This window comes from Homo sapiens, chromosome 18, assembly GCF_000001405.40.
Source record: "Homo sapiens chromosome 18, GRCh38.p14 Primary Assembly".
Classification (NCBI taxonomy): Eukaryota; Metazoa; Chordata; class Mammalia; order Primates; family Hominidae; genus Homo; species Homo sapiens.
The window spans coordinates 76,925,636-76,942,433 of NC_000018.10; the positions used below are offsets into that span (position 1 = coordinate 76,925,636).

Below are 16,798 nucleotides of genomic sequence, written 5' to 3' on the forward strand. Positions count from 1 at the left end.
AGATGTTGTTTACCGTAGCACCACGTTTCCCTTCTTTGAGCCTTTTCCTTATAAGGCATTCGGAAAAATTGGAATTCCGTCTTGCAGACATTGCTCCTTTCCATTTCGCATTCTGTCTTCCATGCCAGCTGCTTTTTTACACTAAGCACTTTGTTTAGCTTTTGTTTTTAGTGGGTGTAAACCTGTTTTTACTCAGTTGGCATTCTCATAAATTTAGTAGTGAGAAGTGTAATTTATAAATACTCAATAGCATTGTTTTTGATATAGTGCAGTTTTCCAGTTGTTCTTGCGTCTCATAGTGCTTGAGAAGTGTTACATTTTAGCTAGTTGTGTTGATTTGTGTGCCTGTGAGTAAATGCAGCCGTTGTACATGGCAGTCAGATGTCCTGTGTGCCCTTCTTTCTGTTTCTGTGACTCGTGGCAGGATTGCAGCCTGACCACCACTCAGTAGTAGTGGTTGTTTTGAACCTTTGGCTAATCAGTAGAATCTTTTTGAGCTACTTTTCTGATACGTTTAAAGTGGGCAATATGAGTATCCATTTCACAGAGTTCTGGGGTGATTAGACAGTGTGTGTGTATGGTATAAAGTGTATCTGTTTCACAGAGTTGCTCTGCGGTGATTAGACTGTATGTGGATATAGTAAAAAGTAGGTTTCTGAGGTGATGAGACAGTGTATGTGTATATGGTATAAATGAGATTTCGCGGGTGATTAGACAGTGTATGCGTATGGCATAAAGGAGTATCTGTTTTACAGAGTTGTTCTGGGGTGATTAGACAGTGTATTTGTGTATGGTATAAAGTAGGTTTCTGGGGTGATTAGACATTGTGTGTATATATGGTATAATGGGTGATTAGACAGTATATGTGCGTATATGGTAGAAAGTAGGTTTCTGGGGTAATTAGACTGTGTGTGTATATATGGTATAAAGGGTGATTAGACAGTGTGTATGATTAGACAGTGTGTGTATATATGGTATAAAGGGTGATTAGACAGTGTGTGTATATATGGTATAAAGGGTGATTAGACTGTGTGTGTATATATGGTATAAAGAGTGATTAGACTGTGTGTATGGTATAAAGGGTGATTAGACCATGTGTGTGTATGGTATAAAGGGTGATTAGACAGTGTGTGTGTATGGTATAAAGGGTGATTAGACAGTGTGTGTGTATATGGTATAAATAAGGGGTGATTAGACAGTGTGTGTATATGGTATAAAGGGTGATTAAACAGCATATATGTGTATATGGTATAAAGTAGGTGTTCGTATTCCACAACAACATTGTATTGACATAATGTGTACAACTTATGTATTTAAAAATCCCTATGTAAAAAATGAATTACTTTAGTTTTAAGAAGCATTCATAATATTTGATCATTCTCTTTCTCTTTCTCTGGCCAGCTGGGGGTGACCTGACCGTGTCTCTGACAGATGGGAGCCTGGCTACCCTAGAAGGCATCCAGTTACAGTTGGCTGCTAACTTGGTTGGACCAAATGTACAGATTTCTGGAATCGATGCTGCCAGCATTAATAACATTACGTTGCAGGTATGACACCTTCCATGGTCTCCTGTGCTGTAATTCTCTTGGCATCACAGAGAAGCATGAAGTTTTCATTACAAGTACCTGTGCTGCTTTTCAGATTGATCCAAGCATTCTGCAGCAGACGCTACAGCAGGGCAACCTATTGGCTCAGCAGCTCACGGGGGAGCCTGGCCTGGCCCCACAGAACAGCTCTCTCCAGACATCGGACAGCACGGTCCCTGCCAGTGTTGTCATCCAGCCCATCTCAGGCCTGTCCTTACAGCCCACAGTGACCTCTGCGAACCTGACCATAGGCCCGCTGTCTGAGCAGGATTCAGTGCTGACCACTAACAGCAGTGGTAAGAGCCACTCACTTTTGCTTATTTTGACAGCTGGAGTTTCAGTTTCTTGCTTGTGATTACATATTTGAATTTAGGATGTTATGATGTCATTTTCTTCTCTTTGTAGAAGAGAATAAATCAAATGTCCTGAGAATAAAATAAGCTTTTCTTACAATTAATGATATGTATTTAATATATGCTCTTAGATTATTACTACCTTCATTTAATTACTCTTTTCATCCTGGCTTCATTTCCTCACAAGGCTTTCTTCTTAGACGAAGGAATTAGAGATGACTGATGCTTTGTTTTAAATCTTTGTCTTATTGAAATATGTAATAACAGTTTAATTAAAATATTTTTAATATAAAAACAGGGGAAATTGGTTATTTTGAATCTCAACTTTGTTTTGCTTTGTAATGACAATCAGGGACCCAAGACCTCACTCAAGTGATGACTTCGCAAGGTCTAGTGTCCCCCTCCGGCGGTCCCCACGAGATCACCCTGACCATTAACAACTCCAGCCTGAGCCAGGTCCTGGCACAGGCCGCTGGGCCCACTGCCACGTCTTCCTCGGGGTCTCCACAGGAAATTACCCTGACTATCTCCGGTTAGTAAGTTATAATTTTAAACATCTTTTCACCCTGCAATTTAAGTACTGTATATCTTACTATCTCTTTTCCTACAATACTCTGCTGTGCATAAAGCCCGTGCTCAATATGTATTTATAATTTATGGGAGAAATTGAAGTTTAGTGAAAATAATGTATTCTAATTCAGATCTGGCACCAGAAATGAAAAATTATAGTTTCTCATGTCACTTCCAGTTTGAGTACAGTCAGTTATTTAATTATTTCATTCATTGACTCATTTTTAGAGAATAAGTTATTTTTGTTTAGCAAACAGCAGAAAGCGTAGCTTTGTGGTTCTCACTCATGCTCCATGAAACTGGTATAAACTGTTTACATTAGGGCATTTTAGATCCGCATGGCACTCTCTTTACCGTATGTCTTCAGAATTCTATTAGGATTATATAGGAAAATTGAAACATAGGAGAACATTGAAAAGTAGATAAACGGGTAGGAAATACCCTTTGGCAGTAAAGCCCACCTAAAACTGGCAATCTAATTCTCTCTGCCAGTCACCAGGCTGACTCATTCCCTGTCTTAGGGCTATGCTGCTCGCATTCTGACTTTTCTCCTTGTGTGCCTTCCTTGGTCCTTACGTATCATTAATTCCCATAGTGTGTTCGGATCTCAGTGAGCATTGAACATATTTTCCTGGTGTGCTTTGCTCACGTGACTCTTAACTATAAACTCTTTGTATTACTAAGAGTCATTTGTTAATTCAGCAATTTTTAGAGCCCTTACTATGTGCTTGATATTATTCTAGTAACTTCCACAGATATTAACTCATTCAATATTAGTTCATTTAAGACTCGTAACCTGATGATGATGTTAACAAAGACATTTTGCTAGGAATCAAAACACGCTCCGTGGAGATCTGATGTGACAGAGGGAAGCAGCCCCACTTCCCTGAAACACACCTGTGGAGAAGGACAGCATTCTAGATGGACTCAACCATGAAGGGCAGGATTTCTGCTGTTTCAGAGATATTTCTGCAGAAATTAATTTCAGAACTGAAAGAAAAGGTATTCATAAGAAAACCAGAAGCTTTCTTTTTCAGGAAGGTGTCTTTATTTCTTTTAATACATTAGTGAGAAATTTGAGGAACTGTTTTTAGGTACAGCTTTGCTTTTAAATGAGATGCAGTGGTTTTTAGATGCTGTTGGACAGCAAAAATTAACATTGAATTTTATATAATTCAGTAACCTTCCTCCTTTTAAAATTATATTTATATCTGAATTTTAATGTTGGAAATACAGAAGAGTTACAATATTTTAGGAAAGCTATTTGGTTGATCCAATTAACTTTCTCGAGTACACTTAATATAAGAAGTATTGTGCTAGGTCCTATCAAAACTACATAGTGCATGGTTCTTGCTCAGAGTTAAGAAAATGTATTCTTCAGTTTGTGGATTGTGCCTCTGTTCTTCCTGTGTGTTATTATTGGCCATTTGGTTATTTTGTTAGTATATTTGAAAGTGTAGATGAATATAACTAATATTTTAAGAATTTGGCTTCAGCTGTTCTAGGAGAAAACCTTAAATGAGTTAATGAAATAAGTTTGGTTTCAACTTTGGGCTTCAGATTGTTTTTTCTCACTTATTATGATGGATAATGAGAATTGGCTATACAGTTCCTTATCCCATTTTGAAAGGGCTGCAAAAAGCATTTAATTTATGGTAACCTGTTAAAAGCATCTAGATATTCCATAGAAATTTTCAAAGATTTCATAGTGTGTTCTTTTTTCCATTAACACATAGGATTATAAATGCATGCAAGTACTAGAGAATGCACAAATCACTTCAGCTAAGTTTTGCAGACTTTAGGCAGTTCATGAGTCCTAGCATTCAGAAAAAGGTTACACGTTGAGTGAAAAGCAAAGACAGTCCTTTGCCTCCCGGAATTACCCTGTCCAGATACAATGAAAGTCCTTTTACCTGATGTTTTCAGCCCAGTTATTAATAAAAAGGTATATAAAATTGGGAACCAAACAAGTGACATCTGCATACTTTGGAGATTCATCCACGGATCTTTTGAATATGGGTCTGCTCAGGTGATAATACATTTTCTACTTTTTAAAATTTTTGCCTGTACTCATGTTCATCATGCAGTTTCATCTCCTGTTTCTCTTTCTTTAGCATTGCATGAGAATGTAGGTCACTATAAAGCAATCATAGTGCAGCATACTTTTGTCTTTTGAATCTTTTTCTCTCTGATTTTGTGTAGTTGTCTTGCCTACACCTATTTTGACAGCAGAATGTTTAAAGTATCTTGTCTTTACCAAGTTTTTCCAAGGCATTCAATTTGGTTTCCATTGGATGTCCAACAGATTTTTTATTCTCATATTCATTTCTAGTTGCCATACTATTTGATTTCATTATATCATTACAGTAGCTGATGAAGCTGGCATAAACGGGTTTTGAATCAAGCAAATGTGTTTTAGTAGGAATGTATTGCAGGCATGTTAGTGTGTACTTGAGAGCATTCAGAACACATAGGATAGGAACACAGCACACGGGAAACCGCAGCATCGTGGGCTCGGCAAGCCTGCCCAGTGGAGGGCAGGGAGGGGAGGTTCTGTTATCGCCTGGTGATGCCCCTCAGATCCTTTTAACATGCTTTTGCTATACCTGGCAGTGCACTATATTTGGAAATATTTTCAATTCATTGACAGTTTCATTCCACACAGTGTGTGATTTTTAGGGCCTAAATACTGAGTTAAAGTAAAACTCATAAGAAGTATTTTTAAAATACTTCACAGCTTAAAAAGTGTGAACAAATACTGTCATTTAGGGAAATGCATTTTGTGGTCTCATTTTCATTTTTCCATAAATTGTACTGAAATGACAATGAAAACTTTGAGGATAGAATTATATGTTTAACACACTTGCCAATACGCATCTTAGAATGTTGTTTTCAGATACCACAATATTAATTTCCATTTAGGTCAAGAACTTATTCAACACAATTCTAATGGAAATAGTGAACTATTAATAAACGGGAGCATAAGATTGTTAGCGCCTGAAATCAATAATCAATCTACAGGTGCCACCCTAACAATAAGCAATGATCAGCTTCTCTCCCAGAGCACAGCATTGAGCTCTTCAGGCACACAGCACACGAGTTAGCCAAGAAAGACATTATAAGAGGTCGGAGCTAAAGAGCTCTGCCCACAGTCAATGAGGAGTTAAACTGTCCTTAGCATGACAGGTGTGTCAGCGTCATGCTTTGTCACATGGATTATCATTCTGTAAGGATTACTGGCTTATGTCTAATTCTAGGATACAAAATTCTCTCTAATGTTACCAACCAATCGATGATGTTACTTTTTAAGCCATGAAAGTAAATAATTTTATTCAACTGTACAAAGCATCGTATATTTATACAAGTTAGCATGTTAATAACTCCATGTACAAAGCTGTCCCTTTCTAACCCAGCGCTGGAAGACTCTTACTTAGCTCATTACTTCTGCCCTCCAGTGAGAATTTTCTGACACCAGCTGAAAATAGAATAGAAAAATGGAAAGGAGGCAGCTTTCTAAGATTTTAAAGCATAGAATTTTATGAAAAATAAACATATTAATATTGGCAGAAACTGCAATTACTTTTGCACCAACGTAATAAATGAGCTCATGTAAGATAAATGACAGTTTCATAAGTAACCATTAACAGTTTAGGATAACATACCTATCTCGTTCTCTTCACCTTGTAGAGATTGCATTCACTTCTTAGCCTTGTTATTTTCCAACTATGTATATCACTTTGTGAGGAAAAAAAAACTAATCTTCAGATATGTTTGTACCCAAAAGCTAGACCTCTTTTCATGCTTCATTCTTAATTGAAACGACCTCTTGTCCCGTAGTTCATTTATTCCATAAAAGATTATAGTGTCTGCTGTGTGCTAAGAATTGTGCAAAATCTGGGACTGTGACTCTGGGCAGGTCAGAGCTGGCCCTGTGTTCTGGATCTCAGAATAAATGGAGTGCAGACATTTTTTGAAGAATCCACAAGTGACTATAAAATTACAGCTGTAACCATATATAAAGGAGAGGTGATGGCACAGAGAGCACATGTCACAGGGGGTGGCTCTGTGGCTTCTTTGAGGACATCCTGGCTGAGCTGAGAGAGGGGCTTGGGAGTGTGGTGGCTTTTCTCCCAACGCCAGCCACTCAGCTTTGCATGGCCCATGGTGGCCTTTAGCTGAAGCAAGGAGGTGTGGATATTTTAATGGGTGGAAGGTCCAAAATATATGATGTATTGTTGAAGTTAACATAGCAAATGTTTTTCTCCAAACGTTTTCTAAAACTCATAGTTTGTGGTTTTTAAAGGATCAGGCAGTGTGTTCTTCTCATCTCTAGAATTCTAATCTTAGGCTGTGAGTTCATCATCTTTCCCCCGCTGCATGGTTCATGTTGCAATGTGAAGACGTGCTGTTTGTGTGTGGGCCGAAGCGAGTGGTAGTCGCTCGTGGTGCAGGGCTCTGGGTGAGATGTCTGGATTCATGCCCTGCTGGCCGGCCTCACTGAGCAGGAAACTGGCCGTCAGCAGTGCAGCCTCATGTCTTCCTGGAAACTCTGCTGAACATCCTTAGTGAGCCCCTGGCACATTGATGGAGAGACAAGTTGGGTTGTAGAGGTTTCAGTTTGAGTGGAGTGGTGTTTGTGCCTCTTGGTGATCCTGGATGTTTGTAGGCGCAGCAGATTGCTTGATTCGAAATTGGGGATGTTCTGACCGAAGGGAGAAGTTGGATGGAATGAGGGCGCACGCACTCCAGGGCTCTGCTCTAGCTGCCCGCGTTTCTTTAAACTCCTGTGATCTGGCTAGTTCGGTAGTAAGTGCTGTACCTATAAATTCACCTCCACAGACGCATGTTGGAAGTGTCACACCAGCATCTCACACTCAGGTGAGGGTCCTTTCAGGGCAGGCGAGCTGTCCTCAGTCAGTGGGTGCAAGGCTCCCACATGTTATGCAGCTGACATTTCTGTATAAACAGCAACATACCCACTTTGCTGATTTGCATTTTTTAAATTATTATTCTTTTAGACCTTTTTTTAAAGAGCCAGCCGAGGCCGGGCATGGTGGGTCACGCCTGTAATCCCAGCACTTAGGGAGGCCGAGGCGGGCGGATCACCTGAGGTCAGGAGTTTGAGACCAGCCTGGCCATCATGGTGAAACCCCGTCTCCATTAAAAATACAACAAATTAGCTGGGCTTGGTGGCGGGTGCCTGTAATCCCAGCTACTCGGGAGGCTGAGGCAGGAGAATCGCCTGAACCTGGGAGGTGGAGGTTGCAGTGAGCCGAGATTGTGCCACTCCAGCCTGGGTGACGAGCAAAACTCCGTCTCAAGAAGAAAAAAAAAAAGAGTCAGCTGAGAAAATCAGTCTCTCTCTCTCACTCTCTCTCTCTCTCTTAGGCTACTTTAGCTTATATCCCACTTGTTAAATTAAAAAAAAAAAAGCTTTTCAAGGGATTGGGTGACATTATAAAATAAAAGATGAACGCATAATTAAAGAATATTTGTGTATTAATGTGATATCGGCTATTCTTAAATACAGGCTTAGTTTTATGTGATCAAGTAAGTTGTCTTATGTTCTTGAATACCTTTGGCATCTTTGAATAATCCTGGGTATAGGAAGCAATTGTTCATATATTGACCCACTCAATCCTTGATATTAAGCAGATGTTTTTAGAGTGGCTTGCACATCCCATTTGTCCTAGTTATAATTATGTAGTGGATCTCAACTGTATAGTAGTAGTTAGGAGATTGCCTCTTAGTGAGCAATATTTATCTAGAGTCAAAGTCAGTTTCAGATCTAGCTTGAGGCCACACCACTAATAATTGAAATTAAAATGACATTATTTTGAAATTAAACATGACTCTTCTAAGGTAAACACTCAAAAACCTCTAATGCCCATACAAAACTTATGTTGAGCATAATGAATATGTATATGGCTATTATTATTTTTTGATTCTCTATGCAAGCAAGGTTTGGTTAAGACTCATCAGCTTCTAGGTTAACTCTGGCTGTTTCATCTTAATCGAAGGCATTGAAAGAAGTGTATCACCACTTAGGGATTTGCGATGAATCCAGGCGAGACAATTAGTCAGAATTTCACATGCAGGACAAAAGCACATGCTTTTGTTGAGATTCGTGATGCAGGAGTTGAAGACTATTTCAGAGTTTCATCCCAACATCCATTCCCAAATCTGACACAAAGAGTTTTCCTTAAAAAGTGATCCCATAGAATGTAAGTACTGTCTCAGAAGCAGATCGTAGTCTTGATAGAGGCTTGAGAAATTTAGCACAACTTTTTAAGGAATTCATCTCAAATGAGTATTATCTTTTTGTTCTTACCTTCGTCCACTTTTAAATTTAAGATAATTTTGATGAATAAATTGAGTTCTGCTTTTGATGAAAGAAGCAAAGACCAGTATTTGTTTTCTATTTATTTGTAGGGTTATTCTAGCCTTAGTTTCTTCTAGATTTAAGTATAATCACTTATTTTATTTTTAAATAGTTCAACAATTTAACATTTCCCATTCCCCGGTGTATATTAAAACTGAAGAGGACGTTCTCATCCTCACGAGTTGTCCCTCTGAGTGACCTGGATGCTTGGGAACGAGGGGCTACCCCGATGCTTCTCTCCTGTTCTGCCGCCCCCACCTCCTGTCTTCCCACATTTCAGTTAATCGCAAGAAAAAACTGATATCATATCTTTTAAATTATTTTTAGAACCTTACAAAATTATGTTTTCTTAGAAGCTATGAGGTGATATCCCAAGAGATTTAAGACAATGTTGGGTTTGATGAGCGTACAGTTTATTAATCTTTTTAACTTATTTTTGAGTCGGAATCATAAAGTCAGACTTGTATTGCTCTATACATGCTGGAGGAACAGTGGTTTCAGAAAAATAAGTGAAGAATAAAAGTAAGAGTCTACAATCTTCACTTCAGCATGGGATCTTCATTTTCATGCTAAGAGTATTTAATTTGAATATAAGATTGTAGCTTTTAACAAATGGATAGTTAAGAGCTATTTGTAGCTTGTAATTTAACTGCATGCTTAAGAAAATTTCAGCTTTTTTCTGCTCTAGTCATGTGTTCTTTTCAATCATATTGAGGACAGTTCTACTGGAACCGGTATCATCCTCTTTGTGGAAAATCCATTGAATTAGGACATTATTAAAGGTTCACTGTTTGAGTTGAAATACGAAATTTGGCCCTGTCTGAAGTTGTTTATTATTTTCATTGAACTTTGTGTCAGGTTTCACTTTAATCAAACACAAGCCTTCTCTATCTTTTTACATTTTTCATGCTGCACAGTCCCGGAACCTCTGATACCTTAATAATCACTAGAAAGTCAGGATTAGTTGACTGGTGGGAGTGGGGAGAAGATCTTTGGTTCCTTTATTTCAGCAGTTGGGGTGAGGTTTGAATTTTTGCTGTGCGCTGGCTTCGCCTTGGCTCTAAGTGTGATCCTGGGCGAGATTCACAGGCACATGCATCTCTTCCCCGTCTTCCCTCTGTGCAAGCTCATTGGCAGCTGCCACCTGCCCGCCCGCCCCAGTCTCTATGGTTTTGACCACTCATGTTAAAAACGTACCCGCAGGCTAGTGTGCGGTAAGGGTGTGTGGAGGGAATTTTAGGAGGACAGCTATTAGGTCAGCTGCTGTACTGGTCACTGGAACGCTTAGTGCATGCAGACGTCCTCCACAAGGCCACACTCCTCGGGCTCCCACCAGCACTCTGTGCGGATGCTGGAGCAGGCGGGAGGGTCTGACCTAGCTATCTGTGGAGCCCCGGCGGCTGCTTCAGCGCTCGAGCCTCCCAGCCTGCTAATGGTTCTACTGCTTTTGAAGGTTCCAGGTCTGTGCAGCACAGTGTGGGACCCCAGGAGTGTGGATCTGTGGAGGCATTGTATTTGGAGAACTCCAGCGACAAGTAAGTAACCTAGTTTTCCTGTTGGCCCCTGACTCCTAGGAGAGCGCTGGACTGATGTGACCCAAGTCACAGCAAAGTGCTGACAGGCGCGTGTTTCTTTTGTTTTGAAACCTGGTTAGGCAATAGCTTTTTGAACTTTCCTTTGGTCGTCATCTTGGCATCCTTAGCAACTGGCACAGTGGCTGGCACAAGTGGATGAGGAATACATGTTTCAAATGAATGGATGGCTCGACTGTGGGATAAAGTGAGTGTGCGTGTGTGTGCCCATGTGTTTATACTTTCAACGTTGTGTTCACTGGTGCCCACTACAGGACTTTGATAATCCCATGCTGAACCCGTCTCATCTGCCAGCAAGGTACATGAGTGTCTGTTTTGTAAAAGAAAAGCCCTTTCTTCACCAGATACTTTCGTTTCTCTTAGTATCGGCTGCAAGGGGAGATATTTCAGTTTTGTTGTCTTTTCTGAAGAAAATTAAGATGTCATGCAGGATAAATGAATATTTAAAGGATTTATGAGATGTATTTTGACCTCCTGTCTTTTAGAATAAGAATCAGTCAGGGTGATGAAAGTGAGAAAATGAGCAGAGATGGTCAGATTTATCCCGTAAGCTCAGGAGCTAGTTATTCCTCAGTGGATCACACTTGCTTCCTTTCTTCAGCTGGTCTCTTCAGTTGTGGATGGGTAAGCTCCGGAAGTAGCTATTCCTCAGTGGATCACACTTGCTTCCTTTCTTCAGCTGGTCTCTTTGGTTGTGGATGGGGACAATGCACTGGAAATTCTTGTCTGAGTTTTCATTCTACAGTAGTAGCTGTGACTGAGACTATGGGGTCACATTTTCACTCTTTGTTTACTGGTTTTTCTCTGTGTGTGTTATACTTAAGAAGCACAGTATATTCATATGTAAAGATGTTTAAAAACTAAGAAAAGCCTTATCCTAAAATTAGAATTGAAGACCCTGTGATTTCTTTGGTGCAGCTTGGAGACCTCGGGCATGAATGCTGCTTCCTGCAGGTGGGAGCATCGCTCTCCCTATGCCCTTACACCTGGACTTGTCTGGCCTTCCCATTGATCTACTTACTTTGCCTCTTTTGTAGAACTTAACACTACAAGCGGAAGCCTTCCTTCAACAACACCGATGTCTCCATCGGCCATCTCGACTCAGAACCTGGTCATGTCCTCGTCGGGCGTGGGAGGTGACGCTAGTGTCACGCTGACGCTGGCCGATACTCAGGGTATGCTATCTGGAGGCCTGGACACTGTCACACTCAACATCACCTCTCAGGCAAGTGCTCCTCAGAGAGGGATGCGAAGGTCCTTTCAAAAAGTGATCTTTGAAAACATTATTCATTGACTCCTTCCTAAATAAATAGTCTGAGCATTTTTTTTCCCCAAAATCGAAGCATTTTTTTTCTGATTAAAAAATACGGTAAATATAAAAGGGGATAAAAATTCAGATAATGTAGAAGAACATAAAAAATAAGGTAAAACATAAAACCCAAAGCTGTAATCCCACCACCCAAATGGAACCACAGTTAACATTTTAATGTATATATCCTTCTACACCTTTATATGAATGTATAAGGTACATAGTTATAAATTTCTGCAGAAATTTATAAAATGATGTACACATCATGTAGATGAGCTTTATTGAAGGGCATTATGTTGTATTCATGGTTTCAATAAGTAGTATGGAATTTTTCATGCCCTTAGTCACTGAGATTCTTAGATGAATTCCTACCAGTAGAAGTGCTGTGCCAAAGGGGTGTACATTTTTAAATGATTCGTTGAGCTAAGATGCTGAAAAACCTTTCAGACTTTAATTAGGAAAATCATAATGATACATTATGATTAGTTATAATGAAGGTGAATTATAACAAAGCTATGCCAGCATTTTGATAGTTGAAGACTAATTATAATAAGGCTGTGTCAGAATTTTCATAGTTGACTGTAAAAAAGTCTATTCTTAGTTGATGTAAATTGTGATTTCTATGTGTCTGTTCCTGGCTGTAATAGAAGCAAAATATGCAGCAGAATTAGAAAGCTGAGGCTGGACACAGGTGGCTCCTGCCTGTAATCCCAGCACTTTGGGAGGCTGAGGTGGGAGGATTGCTTGAGTGCAGGAGTTTGAGACCAGTCAGGGCAACGTGGCAAAACTCTGTCTCTACAAAAAATAAAAAATTTGGCCAGGCGTGGCAGTACACACCTGTAGTACTAGGTACTCCGGGGGCTGAGGTGGGAGGATTGGGTGAGCCTGGGAAGTCGATGCTGCAGTGAGCCATGATTGCACCACTGCACTCCAGCCTGAACGACAGAGTGAGACCTCTCTCTCAAAAAAAAGCTGAGGTTGTTTTCACCAAAACACATTCCTTGATTGTCCTGTCTCTGCTTTTTAGGCTCACTGTACAAGAAAAACAGATGTTGGCATCTAGAGCAGGATTGGCCCTAACACTATTACAACCACTTGCTGAAGAAATGGCCTCTTCTGAGCTCTAGTCCCTCGCATTGGTGAAATAGCAGCATTTCCTCTGCATCGCTTCAAGGCAGAGTTCAGTCAGTCTCCCTTGGTTGTGGGATGCTCACATGTTGTTGGCAAATAGGCTTTGCCTAGAGCTCCTCACCGAGGCCCCCTGCACAGCCACTACCCTCTTCTGAGGTGACCCAGGCGCACCGCACGCCAGGGTTCCTGCTCACTGGACACAGGGGCTCCCCTTTGGCTGACCTGCCTGTAGCCAAGCAGCCCTGCCTACGTCGTGCCCCCAGGGACCTGTCGGGCAGCCCCTGTCAGCCACATGTGGTGCTGGGAAGCATAGCTTGCATCTCACTCAGAGGCATTCCTCCTGAGCTGTGCGGAGCGCGTGACTGCTTATGGAGTTTAACACACCTTCTTCACCTGCCCTTACGCACCATCAACTCCTGCTTGTCACATAATTAACCTTCTAAATGTTAGCAATTCGTATCATGTTTTAAAATTGTAGTTGGAACAAAAGTAACCGACTGGCTGGGCGTGGTGGCTCACACCTGTAATCCCAGCACTTTGGCAAGCCGAGATGGGCTTGAGGTGAGGAGTTTGAGACCGGCCTGGCCAACATGGGGAAACTCCGTCGCTACTAAAAATACAAAAATTAGCCAGGCATGGTGGTGGGTGCCTGTGATTCCAGCTACTTGGGAGTCTGAGGCAAGAGAATCACTTGAACCTGGGAGGCAGAGATTGCTGTGAGCTGAGATCGCACCTCTGTACTCCAGCCTGGGCAACAGAGTGAGAGTCCATCTCAAAAACAAAAACAAACAAACAAACAAAATACCCATCCTAAGGTGTAAATGACTGGGGTGTGCTTTCCTAGATGCAAGAAGCATGATGATTATGGTGGACCAGCCAGGTCTCCTTTCCTACCTGTCATCTTGGTCACTGTATCTCAGGGCCTAGTGAAGCCCCCTGAGGTCTGGGGCAGGCAGTGGGCAGGGGGAGGCTGGATGGGAGAGCACTTTTCCTTATTTACCATTCAAGGAACACACTTCAAATCCAGGTACAGGAGTCTGTACACTAACTCAGAGTCATTTGTCTTTCCCACGTTTTTATTTGCTGCTAAGATGTTGTTTTTATATTTAAATGATGACGGCTGTAAATATGACCTTACACTTCCGGTTGTCTTGTAAAGCCTTAAGGGTGTAATGTGCATTGGGCTTTGGGAACTCGGTGGGCGACCCTAGCACTGCATTTGGGAACACGGTGGGCGACCCTAGCACTGCATTTGGTAACACAGTGGGCTACCCTAGCACTGCATTTGGGAACACAGTGGGCTACCCTAGCACTGCATTTGGGAACATGGTGGGCTGCCCTAGCACTGCATTTGGGAACACGGTGGGCGACCCTAGCACTGCATTTGGGAACATGGTGGGCCACCCTAGCACTGCATTTGGGAACACGGTGGGCTACCCTAGCACTGCATTTGGGAACACGGTGGGCTACCCTAGCATTGCGTTTGGGAACACGGTGGGCGACCCTAGCACTGTGTTTGGGAACACGGTGGGCGACCCTAGCACTGCATTTGGGAACACGGTGGGCTACCCTAGCACTGCATTTGGGAACACAGTGGGCTACCCTAGCACTCCATTTGGGAACACAGTGGGCTACCCTAGCACTGCATTTGGGAACATGGTGGGCTGCCCTAGCACTGCATTTGGGAACACGGTGGGCGACCCTAGCACTGCATTTGGGAACACGGTGGGCTGCCCTAGCACTGCATTTGGGAACATGGTGGGCTACCCTAGCATTGCGTTTGGGAACACGGTGGGCGACCCTAGCATTGCGTTTGGCAACACGGTGGGCGACCCTAGCATTGCATTTGGGAACACAATGACTGTCCTGTTATATGTGTGAGTCAGCTCCCAGGGTCCCTGGTGTGTTTCTTATTGTAGACTTTTAACTATCATAATTAAAGACATAGTAAAGAAGTAAAAATTATTTAAAATATAAATTTTAATTAGTTAAATGCCTTTGAATAACTTTTGGAGTGTGGGATTGAGTTTGATGAGAAAAACCCAGAAAGGCATTTATTTCAGTGATTATGAGAGCGTATTTTCTGTATGTTAAGTTTTATCACTTTGAGAATTATCCACTACAATTAAAGTGAAAGTTCAGTAAGTAGTTCTCAGTATTGTCTAGGTTGTATTTTTAAAGTCTGCAAATATTTGCCAGGATGTCCCATGCCTTTTTTGTAGAACAGGGGTCCCCAACTCCCAGGTTGTGGACTGGTACCTGTCCATGGTCTGTTAGCATCCAGGCCGCACAGCAGGGGTGAGCGTGGGCCAGAGAGCATTACTGCCTGAGCTCCACCTCCTGTCAGATGAACTGGGGCATTACATTCTCAAAGGAGCATGAATCCTATTGTGAACTACACATGTGAGGGATCTAGGTTGTGTGATCCTTATGAGAATCTAGCTAATGCCTGATGATCTGATGTGGAAAAGTTTCATCCCGAAACCATCTCCCCAACATCCCCTACCTCAAATCCGTGGAAAAATTTTCTTCCATGAAACCAGTCTTCCTGGTTCCAAAAAGGGTGGGGACTGCTGGTGTAGTGCACAAGGGTCACCCAGGAGCCTTGTGAGCGGGCAGGTGGTTCTCCAAGCAGGTTCTTGAGGAAGGGCTGTAGAGTGAAGCTTTGGTGGCAGTGATGACCCTGGGATGCGCTGTGGCCCATTTCGGGGCCTGCTGTCCTCACCAGCTGGCAGCTCAGGCTCCCTGGCTTCACACCAGTGGGGTCACTTTCTCATTTAGGATGCTGCTTTTGGACAAAAGTCCTGTGGGTCCTCAGCGCCTCAGGACAAACTCCATCAGCTGCCCCTCTGGCTCCTGCCTGGCCCCTGCTACGCCACGTGGACTTGGGCTCTGCTGGCTGAGCTGCCAGTACCTCGTTTGCCACGCCCTCTCCCTCCCACCCACTGCACAGGTGGCTCCTGTGCCTGGCATCCAGGATGTGCCTGCAGCCACACACCCTGCCATTAGCGCTTCCCTGCTGCCCCCCTCAGCCCTTCCACTCTGGCCTGCGGACATGGGAGCAGGAGGCTTTGTGAGCAGCACGAGCCGGGTGGGTCTTCTGGAGCCTGTGTCTATCCAGATACATTAGTGTTTCTGTTAAGCTTTGGTGGGTTAAGTTCATTCTGTATATTCTTTTCTGTACTTTAAAAAAAATTATCAAATACAAAATTTTTAAACCAAATTGATTAATTAGCATGCATTGTCCAACAAGTAATTTAAAAATATCCAATAGAAATTGTGTAGCTTTATTTGAATCTTTTTTCTATTAGCTGGCAAACTTAGACTTGTGCTGATTTAATACTCTGAAAACTTGCAAAAACCAGATGAAAACTTTCTTAGCTTTTTGAATGGTATTTTTCTAAACATAATGAATCCTTGGTAGCAATAAAACCACCATTTTATTGTCAAGAGATTAATGAACCTACAAGAAAATGGCTGTAAATATGTAAATTAAATTTGACCTGAAAATTAGAAGGTGGTCAAGAGAAATTAACCGGTGTCTAATGATGATTGTTCAGTTAAGAGTTATTCACTAGGGGATAAATGTCGAATGATTTAATATTACTTCCTTAAAATGACATGTGCTCCTTGAATTTAATGAGGAAACGGACTAATAGCACGGGGAAGAGATCCAATGTGAAGAAATCAAGTTGTTCAGCATTATACCACCCTGAACACTGCACTCTGTGCATGGAAAAATAAGAATCTCCCTAAATGGACTGAAGGAAACAGTAATATAAACATAGAAATTACTGTACATATTTAAAAGATAGGAAAGTCATGTAAACTTATTATGTATTATTTTTTGTTTCTTTGTAAAATCCATGAAAGAT

At 41.7% G+C, this 16,798-nt stretch overlaps 1 protein-coding gene across 7 annotated transcripts in view, besides 1 other annotated feature; it reads left to right on the forward strand.

Annotated features, from left to right (window-relative positions):
• ZNF236 (zinc finger protein 236) overlaps window positions 1–16,798 on the forward strand; it is a 150,345-nt gene that overhangs the window by 103,079 nt on the left and 30,468 nt on the right. For 5 of the 7 annotated variants that reach the window (NM_001306089.2, XM_011526165.4, XM_047437793.1 and 2 more), the window contains 4 exons: window positions 1,402–1,547; window positions 1,642–1,882; window positions 2,292–2,471; window positions 11,521–11,708. In NM_001306089.2, the coding sequence (NP_001293018.1) occupies window positions 1,402–1,547; window positions 1,642–1,882; window positions 2,292–2,471; window positions 11,521–11,708 (755 nt within the window). Of the gene's footprint in view, window positions 1–1,401; window positions 1,548–1,641; window positions 1,883–2,291; window positions 2,472–3,338; window positions 3,512–10,344; window positions 10,427–11,520; window positions 11,709–16,798 lie in introns of those variants that run through there. The other 2 variants (XM_011526168.3, XM_011526169.4) reach the window with 2 other exon arrangements.
• Window positions 13,911–14,411: an enhancer, noted in NCBI's record as "H3K4me1 hESC enhancer chr18:74651502-74652002 (GRCh37/hg19 assembly coordinates)". NCBI's record gives its function as "activates a minimal SCP1, AML or CMV promoter by ChIP-STARR-seq in naive and primed H9 embryonic stem cells {active_cell/tissue: H9 hESC(naive and primed)}" and the evidence as "EXISTENCE:reporter gene assay evidence [ECO:0000049][PMID:30033119]".